The sequence below is a fragment of the Homo sapiens genome, chromosome 17, assembly GCF_000001405.40.
Source record: "Homo sapiens chromosome 17, GRCh38.p14 Primary Assembly".
Classification (NCBI taxonomy): Eukaryota; Metazoa; Chordata; class Mammalia; order Primates; family Hominidae; genus Homo; species Homo sapiens.
The window spans coordinates 8,875,205-8,891,954 of NC_000017.11; the positions used below are offsets into that span (position 1 = coordinate 8,875,205).

Genomic DNA, 16,750 nt, shown 5'->3' on the forward strand with positions numbered 1-16,750 from the left:
TTATCAGTTAATTGCATTTTTGGATGTGCTGGGAGTCAGCTTGCACAAGTTAAGTCCTCGAAGAAGGGGCTGCCAGTGAAAGAGCCAAGATGGAGTCTGTCTGGCTCTCTTACCTAAGGGAGAGTCAATTCAGGTGGAACCAAGGCTAGGTGATTAAAGGAAAGAGGGAGAGTCTAAAAACAGGGTTAGTAAAAACAAGGTTGAGCATTACACCTGAGGCCCGGTAGGCTACCTGGACTACAGTCTCAGCAGCACCATCCCCTTTCACATTGCGTCCCCTGATGAGCCCTACACACTCCCCGGAAAGTAGACACTGTGTCATTTTCACAGGCAAGGAAGCGAGGCTTGGAGACATCGGGAGGCGGCCAGGGTCACTCCAAGGGTGAACGTTCCTGCTCCTCCCTGGCCTCCCTGTGATCCGAGGTTTAGCCTGAGAGAGTGCCGTATCCGACAAAGGGAGCAGAGGAAATGTAAGGCCACAGGGGTTCTGCCAGGTGCAGGAAGGAATGATGGAACTGGGGGCCAAGAGAGCGCTCCCTTCTACGGTCCCAAACCCTGAGACCCGCAGTGCACAGCTTGATTTTGGTCCCCTAACTGAGGCCTGCCCAGCCTTCTAGGAAGCAGGAAGTGGCAAAAGGAGACACCTATCTCCTCCCAAAGTTGGAGAAATATACCCATTCCAGGGATGGCAAGACCAGGAGGTCAACATGCCTAGGGCAGAAGTAATTCTGCTGTGAGTAGTGGGAGGTGAGAGTCTGCAAGTTTATGGCCAGCTCCTGAGCTCTTGGTGAGGTACCATGCGGAGGAGGGGCCACCTTGAGGAGGAGGATGGGGTGCTGAAAAGGACAGCCTCCTCCTTTCTCTTCATCTGCCAACAGCAGGACCCAATGGGGATTCTAGTTTCAGTCCCCTACCTCGGCCCCTTTCCTCAGTGTTCAATGACTCGGATTACAAAAGCTCATGGACTGGATGAGACATTCTGGCTCAGAGCCCCTTTAGCCTATAACCACTTGGCCCATGGATTCGCCTACAGCTCATGGTGATAGTATCCAGGGTATGTGTCTGACCAATAGGGGATCCATTCTTAGGTCAGCCAGTGATTTTTGTGAAGTATGGTTTAAAGAATCTTCTGTCTGGGCGTGGTGGCTCATGCATGTAATCCCAGCACTTTGGGAGGCCGAGGTGGGTGGATCACCTGAGGTCAGGAGTTCGAGACCAGCCTGGACAACATGGTGAAACCCTGTCTCTACTAAAAAAATAAAAAAAATTAGCTGGGTGTGGTGGCATGCGCCTGTAGTCCCAGCTACTTGGGAGGCTGAGGCAGGAGAATCCTTTGAACCCGGGAGGCGGAGTTTGCAGTGAGCTGAGAATGGGCCACAATGTTCTATCAATTTCAGTAACATCAAATTTGTTAATTGTGTTGTCCAGATCTTGTATATCTCTATTAAAATTTTTTGTCTATGTGTTCTATCAGCTATTGGGAGAGATATGTTGACCACTGTGGTTGTGGAGACTTCTAGTTCTGTCCATTTTTGTTTTATATTTATATTTATATACAGTTTATATTTATATAGTGACATGTATTTATATTTATATATAATTTTCAGTTGTTATTTGGTGTATATAGCTTTATAACTGTAATACCTTTTGTTGGACTCCTTAATCTTTATGAAATGTTCCTCTTTATTTTTTGTAATGCTTCTGCTGTTAAATCTTTGGATATTAGTGTATTGACACCAGCTTTTTTGGTCCGGTTTTGCATCTTTGGATATTAGTGTGTTAACACCAGCTTTTTTGATCTGGTTGGTTTTGCATGGTGTGATTCTTTCCATCCTTTTGCTTTCAACCTTTCTGTGATGTTATATTTAAAGTGTGTCCCTTGTGAGCAGTTTATAAGTTTTTTGTTTTGTTTTGTTTTGTTTTTGAGATGGAGTCTCGCTCTGTCACCCAGGCTGGAGTGCAGTGGTGCGATCTCGGCTCACTGCAAGCTCCGCCTCCCGGGTTCAGGCCATTCTCCTGCCTCAGCCTCCTGAGTAGCTGGGACTACAGGTGCCCGCCACCGCACCCGGCTAATTTTTTGTATTTTTAGTAGAAACGGGGTTTCACCGTGTTACCCAGGATGGTCTCGATCTCCTGAACTCGTAATCTGCCTGCCTCGGCCTCCCAAAGTGCTGGGATTACAGGTGTGAGCCACTGCGCCCGACCGCTGCAGTTTATAAGTTTTTTTTAAAAAAGTATTATCAGACAATTCTGGGTGTGTGATTCCAGGTTAGTAGGTTTGTTTTTTCCCCTCATACTTTAAAGATATCATTTCATCATCTCTGGCTTCCATTGTTTCTATTGAAAGAGAGAGTTCTCAGTTTAATTGTTGCTACTTTGAAGATAAAGTGTATTATTTTCCTCTGTCTTTAGTATTTTCTTATTACCTTTTTTTCTTTAGAAGTTTGACAGTAAGGGGTGTGTGTGTGTGTGTGTATGTGTGTGTGTGTGTTTAAGAAAAAACTGAACTCCAGATTGTATTGGGATTTTACCAGTTTTTGGATTAATGTTTCAGGATACAAGCCAGTGTCTACTGCTTATTTTTCAGGTTTACTCCATCTCTTTTTGTTTCTCAGTCTTTCCTTATTTTTTGTGACAGTAAGAGAGTACTGGTCAGGTTATCTGGTCCCATAGTCTGGGTTTATATGATCTTTTTTACTCTTGATTAGACTGGAGTTATGGAAAGAACATCAAAGGTAAAGTGCACTTCTCATGTGATTTTGTTTTTTTCTTGTGTGGAGATTCCTGTGTCAAAATTCCTGTGCAAAATTTGCTGGGTTTATTAAGTCTGTGGGTTGATGTGCTTCATCAGTGTTAGCCAATTATTGGCAGAAGGAATATTGTTCTTGTTCCAGGTTCCATTCCTAGGAGGCATCGCGTGTCTCTGCTTGCCTCTCATGCTGGTCCAATGTGTCTGAAAGACCAACGAAGCAGATCTGCACCCATCCTGCAGCTTGGAGCCAAGCCACTCTGAGCCCAGCCTAGATCAGGTGGTCCCTAGATGTCCTCCAGATGCATGAGCAAGAACAAATGATCGGAGACTTAGTTCCCTGAATTGAAGGTATGCTTCATTGTTTGCAATAGCCAGCTGATGCAGAGCTGGAACAGCTCACAGTTCTTTCTCCCTCCATCCTGAATAGTGTTCTGGCAACCTGGTACTTACCTCCCTCTCCCAAGCCACAGGTGTCCTCTACCATCCCTCCACTTCTTCTTCTCTCTTTCCTTATCACCCAAGTCTAAAGGCAGTCCCAGATCCAAAGGGCCATTATTGAGCTCTCTTCCCCTCCTCTCAGCTGCATGGTAGGTCCAGGATCCACTGTGCCACCCATCCGCAGCAACGGCCTCAGGCCCGTCCCCTCCCTGGAGCTTGGGGTACAGGAAACAGATGGATATATGGGTATATATTTCTCAAGTGAAGTAGCACAGGAAACCCCAAATGCTGAGTCCTTAGGTGTAGGAATTTTTGTTCTGTGGGTCAGTGAGTATGATGAGGCTTAAGCAGAACAGTATTGGGGAAAATTTTCACCCAAATATATTTTCTATAGGGTGGAAAATTACAAAAAGAGAAATAAAACAATCCCCTATGAAGCTTCTTTCTGGTATAAATAAAATGATTTATATAAACTGTCCAACTAGCAGGGTCATGCAGCAAAGTAACTACTGGTCATTAAATATAGGACAAATCAAGTTTTATTTGACAATAATATTAAATTCCACTCATTAGTTCCTGGACATCTGTTGATCACATAATAAGACAACCTGCCCATACAGCAAAAACATATTGAAGATACATGGCCCGCCACTCTTCTGGAGCTTAGAGCAAGAGCAGACATTAAGACAGGGGAGAGACGGCCAGGCAAGGTAGAAGCTGGCTCTGTCCACGTCTCTCAAGTCATGAGTACTCTGGGCTGGAATTTCACGTAAGGCCTTTTGGGCATAATGAATTAGGAGGCGGGGAAGAGGGACTTTGTGCAGGATACAGTTCATGCTTCCGTGGCTACTTTCTCCACATCAGTCCAGATCCTCGTCTTGACTTCTGCCCTATCTCTCTAGCCCATGTTTGCTTCCAGCTTCTCAAACCACTTCAAGCTGGTTGCTTTGAATTTCAGACTCTCGTGTCCTATCCTAGGCTGACCATTTCCCATGCACCAGTCCCATTTCCCCTGAGTCGGGCACTAAGCTCTGTGAGGCCAGTCACTCCATCCTCTGTTCTGGGATCTTGCCCAGGTGCCAGAAGAGTGCCAGTGAACTTGCGGATATGGAAGATTGTACACGCAGAGTGAGATGGGAGTGGGAGGGCCAATCTGATACAGAAGGGGGTGAAGGGTAGGGCCCCTGAGCAGCCCACCCCTTACCCTGACGAAGGCAATCCTCCTCTGGAATGTCTCTTCCCTCTTCAGTCTGGGTTCTGCCTCAGCCACGAACTGGGAAGGAGTGAGGAACATCCCAACGGCAATGAGAGTATCCCAGTGACTCCAAACAGGAGGAATCAGTGTTCAGAAAGTCAGGCACTAAGCTTTACTGAACACCTACTGGGAGCTCGGCACTGGGCTAGGTGCTTTGCAGACAATTTAACCTTTTAAGGATGTCTTATTTCCACCCCAACTCTCCACTCCATTTTAGTGCTGGAGAAATGAAGGCTTAAAGTTAATTAACTTCCTCTAGTGATTTAGCTAGAACTGAGCTGCTACTAAATTTAACCCTATCCTGTCTTCTAAGAATCTCAGATTCCAAAAGGAGATCAAGAGAGAATCTGTGCCGGGTTCTGAGAGTAGACAGGTCCAGCGTTAGTGCTGTTTTTCTGGAGACTCAGGAAACTTGAGAGAAATTATTGAGGTGTGTGCGTGTGTGTGTGCGCATGTGCGTACATGCATGCCATGTGTGTGTGGTGTTTGCAGGGAGAGGTGGTCTTGAAGTAGAGAAATGTTTCATCCACATTTCAATCACCTGAGCCCCACAGAGGAGGGGACTGAACTCCAGACATACAGGGTCCTCAAGTCTTTGGCAAAGTAAGGGGTAGGCTCAGCCAAGGTTGAGAGAAAAGGCCCAAGCCATCCCCCTGAGCACCAGAGCCTCAGATCTTCCTTCTAGAAAGGATCCTAGACCATGCTAATGGTCAGGGACTTCAGAGGTCAATTTACCCATCCTTCTCCTTCTACTGCCAGGAATCTAAGAGGCTATGGGGTCTGGCCCTTCTCTCTCTGATAGCTGTTGCTTTCCCAGAACCCTGAGGCCCCAGAAACCCTCTACTCCCAGCCCCTGCTCATTGCAGGACCCACAGTGGGACTATGGCTCTGCACAGGGCCATTCAGTTCTCCACAGAGAGGGACTGTCCTGGAGGGGTGGCCGAGGAGGTTGCCCCAGGGCTTCTGTCCAGTCTGGCGCTGGGCCCACACTAGGGCAGAGCTCCACTGAAAGTCATGATGGGCAGGCAGAGAAGGGAGCAGAGATCAGGTGCGGCCTGGGCCGGCAGGTCAGGAGGCGTCTGGGGTGGTGAGGAGAGGTCGCTCTTCTCTGGCTTGTAGCACGGTGAGACCTCACATCTGTGCAGCAGGGCAGGGGCCAGGGATCAGAGCAGGCCCCCATCCTTCCAGCTCCTTCCAGGCCTCTGGGTTGGTGGGAGCAGAAACTGCTCCCCTCCCTAGGACCCCCCTTTCCTACCTGACTACACTCTGCAGGATCTTTCTCTCATCCTGGTCCAGGCACACAGCAAAGGGGCAGCTGTTGGAGCCGATGATCTGCACCTTGTCCACTTTGATCTGCGATGTGCTAATCTGGAAGGAAGGCCCAGGTCAGCCCCAAATCCCTGGCCATCCAACACTGCCAGCCCCTGGCAGTTCCTTTTCTCAGAACTGCCCATCCACTTCTAGGGGTGTGGGAGGGCAGGGGTTTGTCTGACTGCGCTCCAGGGTTAATGGCCAGGTCACAGGAGGGAGCCTGAGGCCTCCATCAGCCCCTGCCTCCTCTCCAGCATCTGGAAGAAGCAAGTGCCCCCTGAGGAGACATTGCCCTGCCTGCTGCCCTCACCGGAGCAGCCCCAGGTCCCCTGATCCAGAGCCTGCTTTCTTTGGTCTCAGAGTCTTAGGACTCTCCTGGCACCCACCCCACAACTTTTCCACATACACGCGTCCTCTCACAGGGCACCCCTACCTCCCCGACACCCCGCAACACTCCACACCTGTGTGCATCCCCAAATCATACCCCTCACCCTGCCTCTCCTCCCCCACCTCTCCTCTCTCTCTCACACACACACAAGTATGTACACACGGGTGTGTATGTGCACACATGCACACACATACATGTGCACACACACGTACACACATACGCACATGCACGCTCCAGTAAGTCTCTTGAGGGTATGGCTGGAAGGAGAGGGAAGCCCGTACCTGGTTAAAGCCCTTCTTGGATTTGGAGTTCTGCCTTTTCACCACTTCTGTCAGGTTTAGCGTCAGGGCCTCCATGCTGGAATCTGAGGGGCAAGGACACTCAGGCCAGGCTCAGAGCACCTCCCTACTGCACACCCCACACTGACCACCCCACTCACCCAGCTCCTCCTGCTTCCGGCAGGCCTTGTTGAGGTTCACGGAGGTACAGACCTTCTCCAGGTTGCTCCAGCGACTTCGTCCACTGATGGCCCCCTGGAAATGCAGTGTAGCCAGACCCTCTGAGTCCAGAGGCCCCGGTGCCTGCTGCCTTCTCTTTGAAGGCCCATCAGTGACAGGGGGTTGCCTCTAGTTAGCATATCCCCAGAAAGCCCTCTCTTATTCACCAGGGCCCCTGTACCACCCTGGATAGACCTGGATGACTCCAGGGAAGAGCTCACGTCACTGGCTTGGTCTAGGGGTCAGCAGCCTCTGTGACCAGGTTGAAAGGTACAAGAGCTGAGAGCACCTGCAGGGGTGGTCCTGAAGCTCTCCTGCCGGGCCCAGAGTGAAGAAGGGTTGGGCCCACAGACATGCTGTTTCTGGCAGAGCCAGACCTGAACCCCCTCTTCAAGTCTTTGTGTGAATGTCTCTGTCATCAGGGACCTCCATGTTGTTAAACCGAAGAACACTTCTTGGTCCTCAGCTTACTTGACCTTACAGTTCACTGCTCTCCCCTCCTTGAAAACCTCTCCTGGGCTTTCGTGATGGCACCTTCCTGGTTTTTCTAGCGCCTCTCTGGCTGGTGCCTCTCTGCTTTGCTGGATCGCTGCCCTCTGCCCGCCATTACATCATGAAGGGCTCAAGGTTCTCCCCTTGGTCCTCTGCTCTTTGTATTCCCTGCTTCCCCCCTTCAGGAGTCTCCTCCGTGACCTTTTTCCATTAGCAGCTGTCCACCCATCTTCATATTCACCACAAAGTCAGGCCCGTTCAGCCAGCCGTCTATTCTCACTGTCTCCTTATACCTCTCAAGGCCTCTCAACCTCAATAATATGTCCCGACCCAAACTCAAGCTCTTCCCCAACTGGACCCCGGCCTCTTCCTGTGGTCCCCCCAGAGAAGATGGTGCTGCCAGTCACAGAGGAGTGACTCCAGGAGTCTGGCCTCTCCTTTCCTAACCCATCCATGGGCCCTGCTGATTACATCACTCACATCTGTCTCCCATTCCTTTCCAGCTCTGCCACCACTACCCTAGTGCAGGCTGCTGCCCTAATTTCTCTTCTGGACCATGGCAACAGCCTCCTAACTGGCCTTCCTGCATCACTTGTGGACCCTTCCTATCTGTCCTCCACAGAGCTGCCAGAGGGAGCTTCCAAGCCTCAGATATAATCATGTCACAGGCATTCCCAGCCCCACCACAAACATAAGCCCCCTTAATGGATATCCACTGCTCTTAGGACTAGGATAAAATTCCTTTCATTGGGTCGGGCGTGGTGGCTCATGCCTGTAACCCCAGCACTTTGGGAAGCCAAGGCAGGTGGATCATGAGGTCAGGAGTTCGAGACCAGCCTGGCCAACGTGGTGAAACCCCGTCTCTACTAAAGATACAAAAAATTAGCCGGGTGTGGTGGCGGGCACCTGCTACCCAGCTACTCAGGAGGCTGAGGCAGGAGAATTGCTTGAACCAGGGAGGCGGATGTTGCAGTGAGCCAAGATTGAGCCATTGCACTCTAGCCTGAGAAACAGGGCGAGACTATGTCTCAAAAAAACAAACAAAAAACCACAAAACTCCTTTCATTGCAATTAAGGCTCTTGGTATGCTGGTCCCCCATTTCTTTAGCCTCACCTCAGCATCATGTTCCCACCAGCTGTCTCTGCTCCAGCCTGGGGGTCTTCTTTCAGAGTGCTTCAAGGTGTTCACACTGCCTCCCACCACAGGGCCTTTGCACATGCAGTTTCTGCTGCTGTGAGAGCACTCACCTCTCTTCTCAGCCTAATTAATTCCTGGTTTTCCCTCCAATATTAACTCAGGTGCCTTCTCAAGGAAGCCTTCACTACTAACTCTCCTGACTGGGTTCGGTTTGCCACTTAGGAACATCCCGTGTCCCTCTCCTCATCCATGTGTCACAGTTGTAATTTTACATCGTGTGCATCATCGAACCAATGCCTACCACCCACTCCAGGGGGCCAGCAGGTCTCCTGGGACCACGTCTGTCCTTTGTTCACTCTTAGGAAGGCTCCAGGGCCTAGAACAGTGCCTGGGCTGTGGAAGACGTCTAGCAAGCACCTGGCATGTGGCTACAGTGAGTGTCGGTGCCTCCTGCCCACCTCCTTCACTGCCAAACGCACTGCAGCCCCAACACCACCGTCCATCTGCTGTTTTATTGCTTTGTCATCACTTGCCGCTCTCTGGAATTATCTTGGCTATTTCTTTGTTTCCTCGTTTCTTGTCTGTCTCCCTCCTCTAGACAAGCTAAAGTGAGGCCTAGGCTTCCCTGCTCAACCCCTCTTTTCCCCTGCCCAGCACAGAGGCAGCATGGGCAGGTGCTAAGAGGATATCTTTGGAATGGCCGAAGGAAGAAGCCCACCTGTGAGGCCAAGCTTCCCTCAGCCTGGACCTTGGGATGCGACCTGCTCAGAGAACTCATGTCTTCTGGCATGTCATGGACAGCCCTCCACCTCCCCACAGCTCTCCTCACTCCTTTCTCACGCCAATCCCATCTTGCATGCAGCCTGCCAGGCACACTGGCCCCCCGAGACCCTGGCTTCTCCCTGAGGTGCCTCTGGAAGGCTTCCCTTTCCCCCTTTCAGCCCCAGCCCTGTAGCCAGGCCCAGCAGACCCCTACCCCTGGGCTGCTGCTGAGCGCATTCGGGTGGGGGCAGAGAACATGGTGGGAGAGAGGCTTTGGAGGCCAAGAAGCACAGAGATATCCACTCCTTCCCTTCTCTGCTTCTCTCAGCATCCAGGGGAGCCTGCTGCAGCCTTCCAGCGTAAAGACTGGGGCCCAGGAACACACGAGTCCAGCTCTGGGTCCAAGCTCTGGCGGAGGAAGTATCAGCAGCAGATCCTGGAGGGGAAGGAGCCCCAGCACGGGTCTTACCTTGCTGTAAATAATCTGTAGTGTTAGAGGAACAGCCTCCCGGTCGCCATCGATGCCCAGCCGCTTGCTGCCAGGACCTGTGCCACACACAGACAGACCCTTCACTACCCCTGGCTTCCCCGGCTCCTCACGAACGCAGTGGCCTTGCCTCCCTGGGCCTTACCTCCCCATCCCCTACCACATGGACCGTGACTCCCTAGGGATCTGTCTCACCAAGGCCCTGCCTCTCTCTCTGGCTCCACGTTCTGGGGATCTCCACCTCCTCAGTGACCCCATCACTCCAGGGCCCATCTCCGCTGTGATCACACATTCCCAGGGTCCTGCCTCTCCAGGGCCCCATCTCCGCTGTGATCACACCTTCCCAGGGTCCTGCCTCTCCAGGGCCCCATCTCCGCTGTGATCACACCTTCCCAGGGTCCTGCCTCTCCAGGGCCCCACCTCCTGGGTAACCCTGCCTCCCCAGGGCCCACCTGCTGGGTAAGCCTGCCTCCACCTGGCCCGACCTCCCATGTAACCCCCCTTCCCATGGTCCTGCCTCCCGGTAACCGTGCCTCCCCAGGGCCCTGCCTTCCAGGCAACCCCGCCTCCCCATGGCCTTGCCTCCTGGGTAACACCGCCTCCCCAGGGCCCTGCCTCGTGGGTAACTCCACCTTCCCATGGCCCTGCCTCCCGGTACCCCTGCCTCCCCAGGGCCCCACCTACCAGGCAACCCCGCCTCCCCATGGCCTCGCCTCCTGGGTAACCCCGCCCTCCCATGGCCCCACCTCCTGGGTAACCCCGCCTCCCCAGGGCCCCGCCTCCTGGGTAACTCCATCTTCCCATGGCCCTGCCTCCCGGTAACCCTGCCTCCCCAAGGCCCCACCTACCGGACAACCCCGCCTCCCCATGGCCCTGCCTCCTAGGTAACCCCGCCCCCCCATGGCCCCACCTCCTGGGTAACCCCGCCTCCCCAGGGCCCCGCCTCCCCATGGCCCTGCCTCCTAGGTAACCCCGCCCTCCCATGGCCCCACCTCCTGGGTAACCCCGCCCTCCCATGGCCCCACCTCCTGGGTAACCCCGCCCTCCCATGGCCCCGCCTCCTGGGTAACCCCGCCCTCCCATGGCCCCACCTCCTGGGTAACCCCGCCTCCCCAGGGCCCCGCCTCCTGGGTAACTCCGCCTCCCCATGGCCCTGCCTCCCGGTAACCCTGCCTCCCCAAGGCCCCACCTACCGGACAACCCCGCCTCCCCATGGCCCTGCCTCCTAGGTAACCCCGCCCTCTCATGGCCCTGCCTCCTGGGTAACCCTACCTTCCCGTGGCCCCACCTCCCGTATCCCTGCCTCCCCAGGGCCCCGCCTACCGGGTCACCCAGCCACCCCATGGCCCCACCTCCCGGTAACCCCGTCTCCCCAGGGGCCTACCTCCTGTGCAACCCCACCTTCCCATGGCCCCACCTCCCAGGTAACCCCACCTCCACAGAGCTCCACGTTTCGCGTCCCAGGCCCCGCCTCACCGTCTGTCTCTGCTCAGGCAGTACCCACCTGACGCCTTGATGGCACGTGTGGCAGCGGAGTGACCCAGCTCCAAGGAGTGGATGAAGATCTCTGTCGTCTTCTCCCCAGTGATGAAGGTCAGCTGGAGAGGGCAGGAGCATGTACATCAGTGTGAACCTCCTGGAGGGGCCCATTTGGCTCCTCCAGCATAGACCTGCTGGCTCTCCCGGGGCAGGGGTGGGGCCTTGCAGGCCCGGCAGGTGGGGAAGAGGCGGTTCGGGGCAGGGAGGCCTTACCTCGGTCTGATAGACTTGCAGCAGCACCGGTCTGGCGGCAAAGCGGCAGTAGTAGAGTAGCATGTCAGCCAGGATGGGCAGCTGGGTTGGGGAGCCCTCCAGGGCCTGGGCTTCAGCCTTCAGGGACTGCTGTGGCCAGAGGGAAGGGGCAGCCAAGCCAGATGGGTGGGTGGATAGATGGTAAGAAGGAGCAAGAATTAGGGAGGAAGAGAGAAGAGAGACATAGAGGCAGCCAGTCAGGGGGAGCTGGTGAGGTGGAAGCAGGAAGCAGGGGAGGGCCGGTGCCCAGCCTCCATGCCCCTCACCTGACCCACTGGCCTCCAGGGAGGCTTCTGGCTTAGCCAGACAAAGGCGGGAGTTGAGGAAGGGGGCTGAAATCTGAGGTCCCCCGGACCCTTCTGAGGGCCCTCCTCCATCACTGCAGTGACCCCAGCTCTCACACTCAGTGTCCTGAGTTCAGGCTCAGTCCTGCTTCTCACCCACACTCCCTGATCTTTTCCAAGAGGGCCCAGGTCCTCCATGGGGGCCTCAAGCCTGATTCCCTAAATCCAGGGCCTTCTAAGTGAGGCTGGGTGACTGCAGCCAGTGGACCCTGTTCCGCAACCACGGGGCCACTTACCTGGCACAGGACTTCAGGGGGCAGGTGCATGAGGCCCAGTACATTGCGCTCATACCAGGGGTCCAGCATGCCGAGGTAGTGGGAGATGTCATTGGTGCTCTCCTCCCATGGGGTGGTGCCCAGCTCCTAGGGCAAAGAACAAGAGTCATCATCCCAGCTCCCCAGGAGGCCTGCCCATCCTAGCTCCAGGGCCTTGGATGGCACCTGCAGCCCCATGCTGAGCTTCTCCCTGCCCTTGGGGAAGTATGACAACTTTCAGTCTTTGTCATATGGCAAAATGTCATGTCCAAGTGCAGGGAGTGAGGGCCAGGCAGGGGGAGGTGCCCTGTCAACACAGGTGCTTGCTTTCCATGACTTCCAATCGGCTTCCTTCAGGTAGCCAGAACTCTACTTTCCCCGACCATTGGCCCAGGCTGGGGACATACTCCAGGGCTGGCGTGCCTAGGGGAGTCTGTCGGGGGTGAGGGCGTCTGGCTCCGAGGGGGTGGACAGGCACCAGGGCTGGTCCCATGACTTCGCTTCACAGGCACGTAGAAGAACTGAAGTTTGAAGAACCGTGTGAGGAGTGGGCGATTGTTCTCCAGCCGCCTGGCAAGAAGAAGATGGTGAGAAGGGGAATGGGCATGGTGGCTCACGCCTGTAATCCCAGCACTTTGGGAGGCTGAGGTGGGTGGATCACCCGAGGCCAGGAGTTCAAGACCAGCCTGGTCAACAGAGGGAAACCCCATCTCTACTAAGACAAAAAAAAAAAAAAAATTAGTCAGGTGTGGTGGTGTGCACCTGTAATCCCAGCTACTCGGGAGGCTGAGGCACAAGAATCGCTTGAACTGGAGAGCCAGAGGTTGCAGTGAGCCGAGATCATGCCACTGCACTCCAGCCCGGGCAACAGAGCAAGACTCTGTCTCAAAATAATAATAATAATAATAATAATAATAATAATAATAATAATAATAAAATAAAAATAAATAAGGGAACTTTTGGTTCCTCTGGGGCCCTAAGCCTCAGGCCCCAGATTCCACCAGCACAACAACCCTGTTACCCAGGGCAGAGGGATGCTCCGCATTACGGCTCTTACCGAAGGTTGCTGTACGCCCGAGCCACCTTCCCTGAAATCCGATCGGAGCCAAAGACCACAACACGTAGCGTGGAAGCCTTGGGATCCTCATCTCCACTCAGGAAGGGGCGGCGGCGCTGGGGGCGTGAAGCAGGGGCCAGAAGCCAGCTGGGCAGCTGGGTACCGAGTTTGGGCTGGGGCAGGGAGCGGGAGCGCTGGGCCCGGGAAGGGGGTGATACTGGTTCGTCCAGGGGGCTGCAGAGGCTCCCTGCCCGCCTCAGGGGCAGGGCCGTGTCCGAGCTGCCCTCCAGGCTCCGAGAGTCCCTCCGCAGTACCAGCTGGCTGGTGCTCTTGAAGAGTTTATAGATCCTGATGAACTTCTGCCCAGGCCTGCGGTGGCCTCGGCGTTCCTGGCTGCCACGCCTCCAAGGCCACTCGGAGGAGCTCTCCTCGCTGTCCTCCACGTAGCCGCTGTCCATGCCATCAGAGAGGCCTGAGACAAAGGAAGTCAGCAGATGGCGCGAGAGGGCCGGCCCCGAGGCCTGGGAGGATGCAAGGGACAAGGTGGAGTCATGGGACGCCAAAGAGCTGGTGGAGAGCAGGGAATCTCTCTCGGCACAGTGCCCGTCAGTTTCCAAGTCCTCCTCCACCTCCTCCTCCTCCTCTTCCTCCTCTTCATCATCTCCCAGGATCCCTGGCTGGAGTAGCTCCTGTTCCTTGAGCAGGATTTCCTGCAGGATGTCTGCAGGGAAGCAAGGCCAGCACTGTCTGGGCGTCTGGGCCCCGGATCCCCTTCTATATTCCCTTTGGAGGGGAGACAGCAGGACTCAGGGCCAGCCCAGGACTCCTAGCACTGCCCCCTTGCTCTGCTTAGAGCCTGCTCATGTGGGAGAGCTTTGGGGACGGGGTGGGAGCTGCATGGACCCAGGACCAGAAACACAGCTCAGGCAGTGTGGGGCATGGGTGTCACCAGGGCCCCGGCTCCTTACCAAAGCTGTCCTGGCTCCAGCTGTAGGTGTAGCACCTGGCGACAGGGATGGGGATGGTGTGGAGCTTCCCTGGTTTTGCAGTGTCTGTAAGAACAGGGAGGATAGGAGAAGAGGGCTGGGAAGAGGCCTTGGAGATTGGCCAGTCCAGTCCCCTTGCCTTGGAGAAGAGACCAGAGATGGGACAGGATCGGCACAAGGATATGTAGCTGGATAGGCTGAGGCTGAGTTACAGCCAGGGTGCCAGGCTCCAAGCCAGAGGCCCTTCTTTCAAGCACACCATGTAGATGGCATGCCCTTTATGAGCTGTGCGAATGTGGCCAAACCACAACCTCTGAGCCTCATTTTACAATGTGCCCATGGGAGAATAATAGTACTAGCCCAGAAGGTTTTTATGAGGAATATTGTAACAGGGAATGCTAATGGTTCCTCAAAGTCTGTGCTCCCTTCTATGGTACTGGAGTCATAGAGACGATGTTTCCCAGGCTCCTTTGGGGCAAGATGTGGCCACGTGACCAAGGCGGGCTCAAAGGAACATGAGCGGAAGTGATGTGCCCAGCTTCTGCATCACCTTCAACAGAAAAGCCCAGCCTTTGCCCTCGTAAGCACTCTCTTTTCCTCTTCCCACAAGCTGCCATCATGATAGCACCCCCACCCTGCCCCTATAGACAGGAATGAGACACCCTAGGGGATGGCAGAGCAGTGAGATGCTGAAGAAGCTGAGTCCCTGAGTGACTGTGTGGAGCAGAGCCACCAGGCCCGCCTGGACCGTGCACCTTGGGACCTAGAATAGGCCATGGGGAATGTGGGAGAACCCCATTCTCCCAAGAGCCTCACCTAACACCCCAGGGAAGCCAGCTTTTTCTCCCACCGCCTGCAGCTTGGTCCTGAGCCACCGCCGGGCCTCTGCAGCATCCCCGATGCCAGATGCCAGCTCCTGTGCCTCTGCGGTCTCCGTGAAGATGTCCTCAAGCTCTGCCAGGGTCTTGGCCTGAAACCCCAGGAGGAGATGGGCTTTGCTCCTGGACCGTGAGCTAGCTGTCCACCTGTTCCAGTTGCTAGCTTCTTACTGAGGGAGGCAGTGATCTGTCCCCTCCCAGCCTCATCACCCATCTCCTACCCACAGCTGGCCAGGCAGCCAGGCCTCTCCCTGCCCTTCCATTCTCAGGAAATGGTCAGGAGAGAAAGATCCAGAGCCACGGCACTGCAGTTAGGAGGGACTTCAGCGCTCCTCACTGTACCCCATAGAGGGGAAGGAGCTGTGTGGGGTGACACAGCCGACCTGTGACACCTGTGACAGAGCCAGGCCTAGATGCCAGGTCTTCAGCCCAAAGCTCATTCTCGTTCTTATGGCATATGCCATCTTCTGAGGCACCAGTTATCAGCACCCAGTCCTACTGCCCAGGCTGCCACCCAGCTGGTTAGGATCCAGCACACCAGAAACACCCTCTATGAGGTCAGCCCTCCAGCCACCACCCTGCCATGTCACCTGGGTGCAGGAGACTAAGTGTACCCTGGAGACCGTGGCTGAGATGAAGCAGGGAGAGGGTGCTACCTCCTCAGAGAGGTGCTCCACCAGAGCCCCAGGCCCCAGGTACATACCTGTAGCCTGCAGTGCAGGCCCGGGACGTCACAGTGGGCCCCAAAGGTGGCCTGGAAGGCGTGCAGGAGCAGGGTGGTGTAGGCACTGTGAGGCGAGTGTCCGGGCGTACTCAGCTTATTGGCTACAGCAAGGAACTCGGCCTGCACTTCCACTGGGTTCAGCAGCAGCACGGTGCTGGGGACACAGGGGACCGGCTATGGCACCCAGGGGTGCGCAGCATGCCACAGTGCAGCCACCCCCCTCGTGCCTGCTGGTGCTCAGCTCCACTGAGACCAGGGCCTCCTCAAGCCCAGGCAGAGCTCGAGGAGGTGACCACAGGAGGCCAGGACAGAAGCAACAGCTCCAGGGTCCAGGTTTCCAGGGGAAAGCGTGGGGTTCACTGCTGAGCATTTTTCAGCTGTTGTTTTCAAAGATCTTTTCAAAATTGAACTTAATTCTTTAAAACTAAATTTACTTAATTTTTATATAAACGTTTTTTCCTATGAGACAGCTGAGTGGATGCAAGATTACTCAAATGAGGATCATATTTTAGGCAAGGTGACTTGAAGCCAAGCGATCAGTTTTCAGGGGGAGCTGGACAGCAACGTGGTGCTGTGCAGTGTGGTCTGGGGCGAGCGGGACATGAAATTCCTCGTGCCGTGGGGCTGCATCTGCCCGGAGGAGGGGATGCCAAGTCAGAGTGCATCTTCTTCCTGAGCTTATGAGGGACACCTTTTCTAATCAGCCCAAAGCCATGATACAGGCTTTCACTGGCTGGGAGGGGACTGTGTGCCTGGCCACTGCTACCTCCCTTCCCGATGGATACCCAGATTCCCTCTTGGTGCCAGTGTTTACATTTCTTTATTATGGAACCTTTCTCTTTTTTTTTTTTTTTTGAGACGGAGTCTTGTTCTTGTCACCCAGGCTGGAGTGCAGTGGCACGATCTCAGCTCACTGCAAGCCCCGCCTCCCGGGTTCACACCATTCTCCTGCCTCAGCCTCCCAAATAGCTGGGACTACAGGCACCCGCCACCACGCCCAGCTAACTTTTTTTTTTTTTGTATTTTTAGTAGAGACAGGGTTTCAATGTGTTAGCCAGGCTGGTCTTGAACTCCTCACCTCGTGATCCACCCGCGTCGGCCTCCCAAAGTGCTGGGATCACAGGCGTGAGCCACCGCGCCCGGCTACTATGGAAACTTTCAAACATACCCCAAATTAAAAGAATCGTGGGCTCTGA

The 16,750-nt window shown here is 54.7% G+C and overlaps 1 protein-coding gene and 2 long non-coding RNA genes across 16 annotated transcripts in view, besides 3 other annotated features; 2 read left to right on the forward strand and 1 right to left on the reverse strand.

Annotated features, from left to right (window-relative positions):
• LOC124903919 (uncharacterized) lies at nucleotides 2,178-11,090 on the forward strand. Its single transcript, XR_007065610.1, has 3 exons — nucleotides 2,178-3,100; nucleotides 9,362-9,979; nucleotides 11,014-11,090. It is a non-coding gene; the product is annotated as an uncharacterized LOC124903919 (long non-coding RNA).
• PIK3R5 (phosphoinositide-3-kinase regulatory subunit 5) overlaps nucleotides 3,712-16,750 on the reverse strand; it is an 86,792-nt gene continuing 73,753 nt past the window's right edge. For 6 of the 14 annotated variants that reach the window (NM_001251852.2, NM_001388397.1, NM_001142633.3 and 3 more), the window contains 13 exons: nucleotides 15,534-15,708; nucleotides 14,769-14,922; nucleotides 13,935-14,018; nucleotides 12,967-13,687; nucleotides 12,317-12,479; nucleotides 11,892-12,017; nucleotides 11,273-11,401; nucleotides 11,025-11,118; nucleotides 9,503-9,579; nucleotides 6,584-6,677; nucleotides 6,426-6,508; nucleotides 5,701-5,813; nucleotides 3,712-5,582 (listed from right to left, as the gene is read on the reverse strand). In NM_001251852.2, the coding sequence (NP_001238781.1) occupies nucleotides 5,435-5,582; nucleotides 5,701-5,813; nucleotides 6,426-6,508; nucleotides 6,584-6,677; nucleotides 9,503-9,579; nucleotides 11,025-11,118; nucleotides 11,273-11,401; nucleotides 11,892-12,017; nucleotides 12,317-12,479; nucleotides 12,967-13,424 (1,485 nt within the window). In that variant the 5' untranslated portion in view covers nucleotides 13,425-13,687; nucleotides 13,935-14,018; nucleotides 14,769-14,922; nucleotides 15,534-15,708 and the 3' untranslated portion in view covers nucleotides 3,712-5,434. Of the gene's footprint in view, nucleotides 5,583-5,700; nucleotides 5,814-6,425; nucleotides 6,509-6,583; nucleotides 6,678-9,502; nucleotides 9,580-11,024; nucleotides 11,119-11,272; nucleotides 11,402-11,891; nucleotides 12,018-12,316; nucleotides 12,480-12,966; nucleotides 13,750-13,934; nucleotides 14,019-14,768; nucleotides 14,923-15,533; nucleotides 15,709-16,632; nucleotides 16,710-16,750 lie in introns of those variants that run through there. The other 8 variants (NM_001388398.1, NM_001388396.1, NM_001251851.2 and 5 more) reach the window with 8 other exon arrangements.
• Nucleotides 9,690-9,853: a silencer, noted in NCBI's record as "fragment chr17:8788211-8788374 (GRCh37/hg19 assembly coordinates)". NCBI's record gives its function as "represses an EF-1alpha promoter that drives an FKBP-Casp9 reporter gene in an ReSE screen in K562 erythroleukemia cells {active_cell/tissue: K562}" and the evidence as "EXISTENCE:reporter gene assay evidence [ECO:0000049][PMID:32094911]".
• On the forward strand, nucleotides 12,418-16,750 carry LOC124903922 (uncharacterized). The gene is made up of 2 exons (XR_007065613.1): nucleotides 12,418-12,496; nucleotides 16,584-16,750. It is a non-coding gene; the product is annotated as an uncharacterized LOC124903922 (long non-coding RNA).
• Nucleotides 12,727-13,535: an enhancer, noted in NCBI's record as "H3K4me1 hESC enhancer chr17:8791248-8792056 (GRCh37/hg19 assembly coordinates)". NCBI's record gives its function as "activates a minimal SCP1, AML or CMV promoter by ChIP-STARR-seq in primed H9 embryonic stem cells {active_cell/tissue: H9 hESC(primed)}" and the evidence as "EXISTENCE:reporter gene assay evidence [ECO:0000049][PMID:30033119]".
• Nucleotides 13,536-14,344: an enhancer, noted in NCBI's record as "H3K4me1 hESC enhancer chr17:8792057-8792865 (GRCh37/hg19 assembly coordinates)". NCBI's record gives its function as "activates a minimal SCP1, AML or CMV promoter by ChIP-STARR-seq in primed H9 embryonic stem cells {active_cell/tissue: H9 hESC(primed)}" and the evidence as "EXISTENCE:reporter gene assay evidence [ECO:0000049][PMID:30033119]".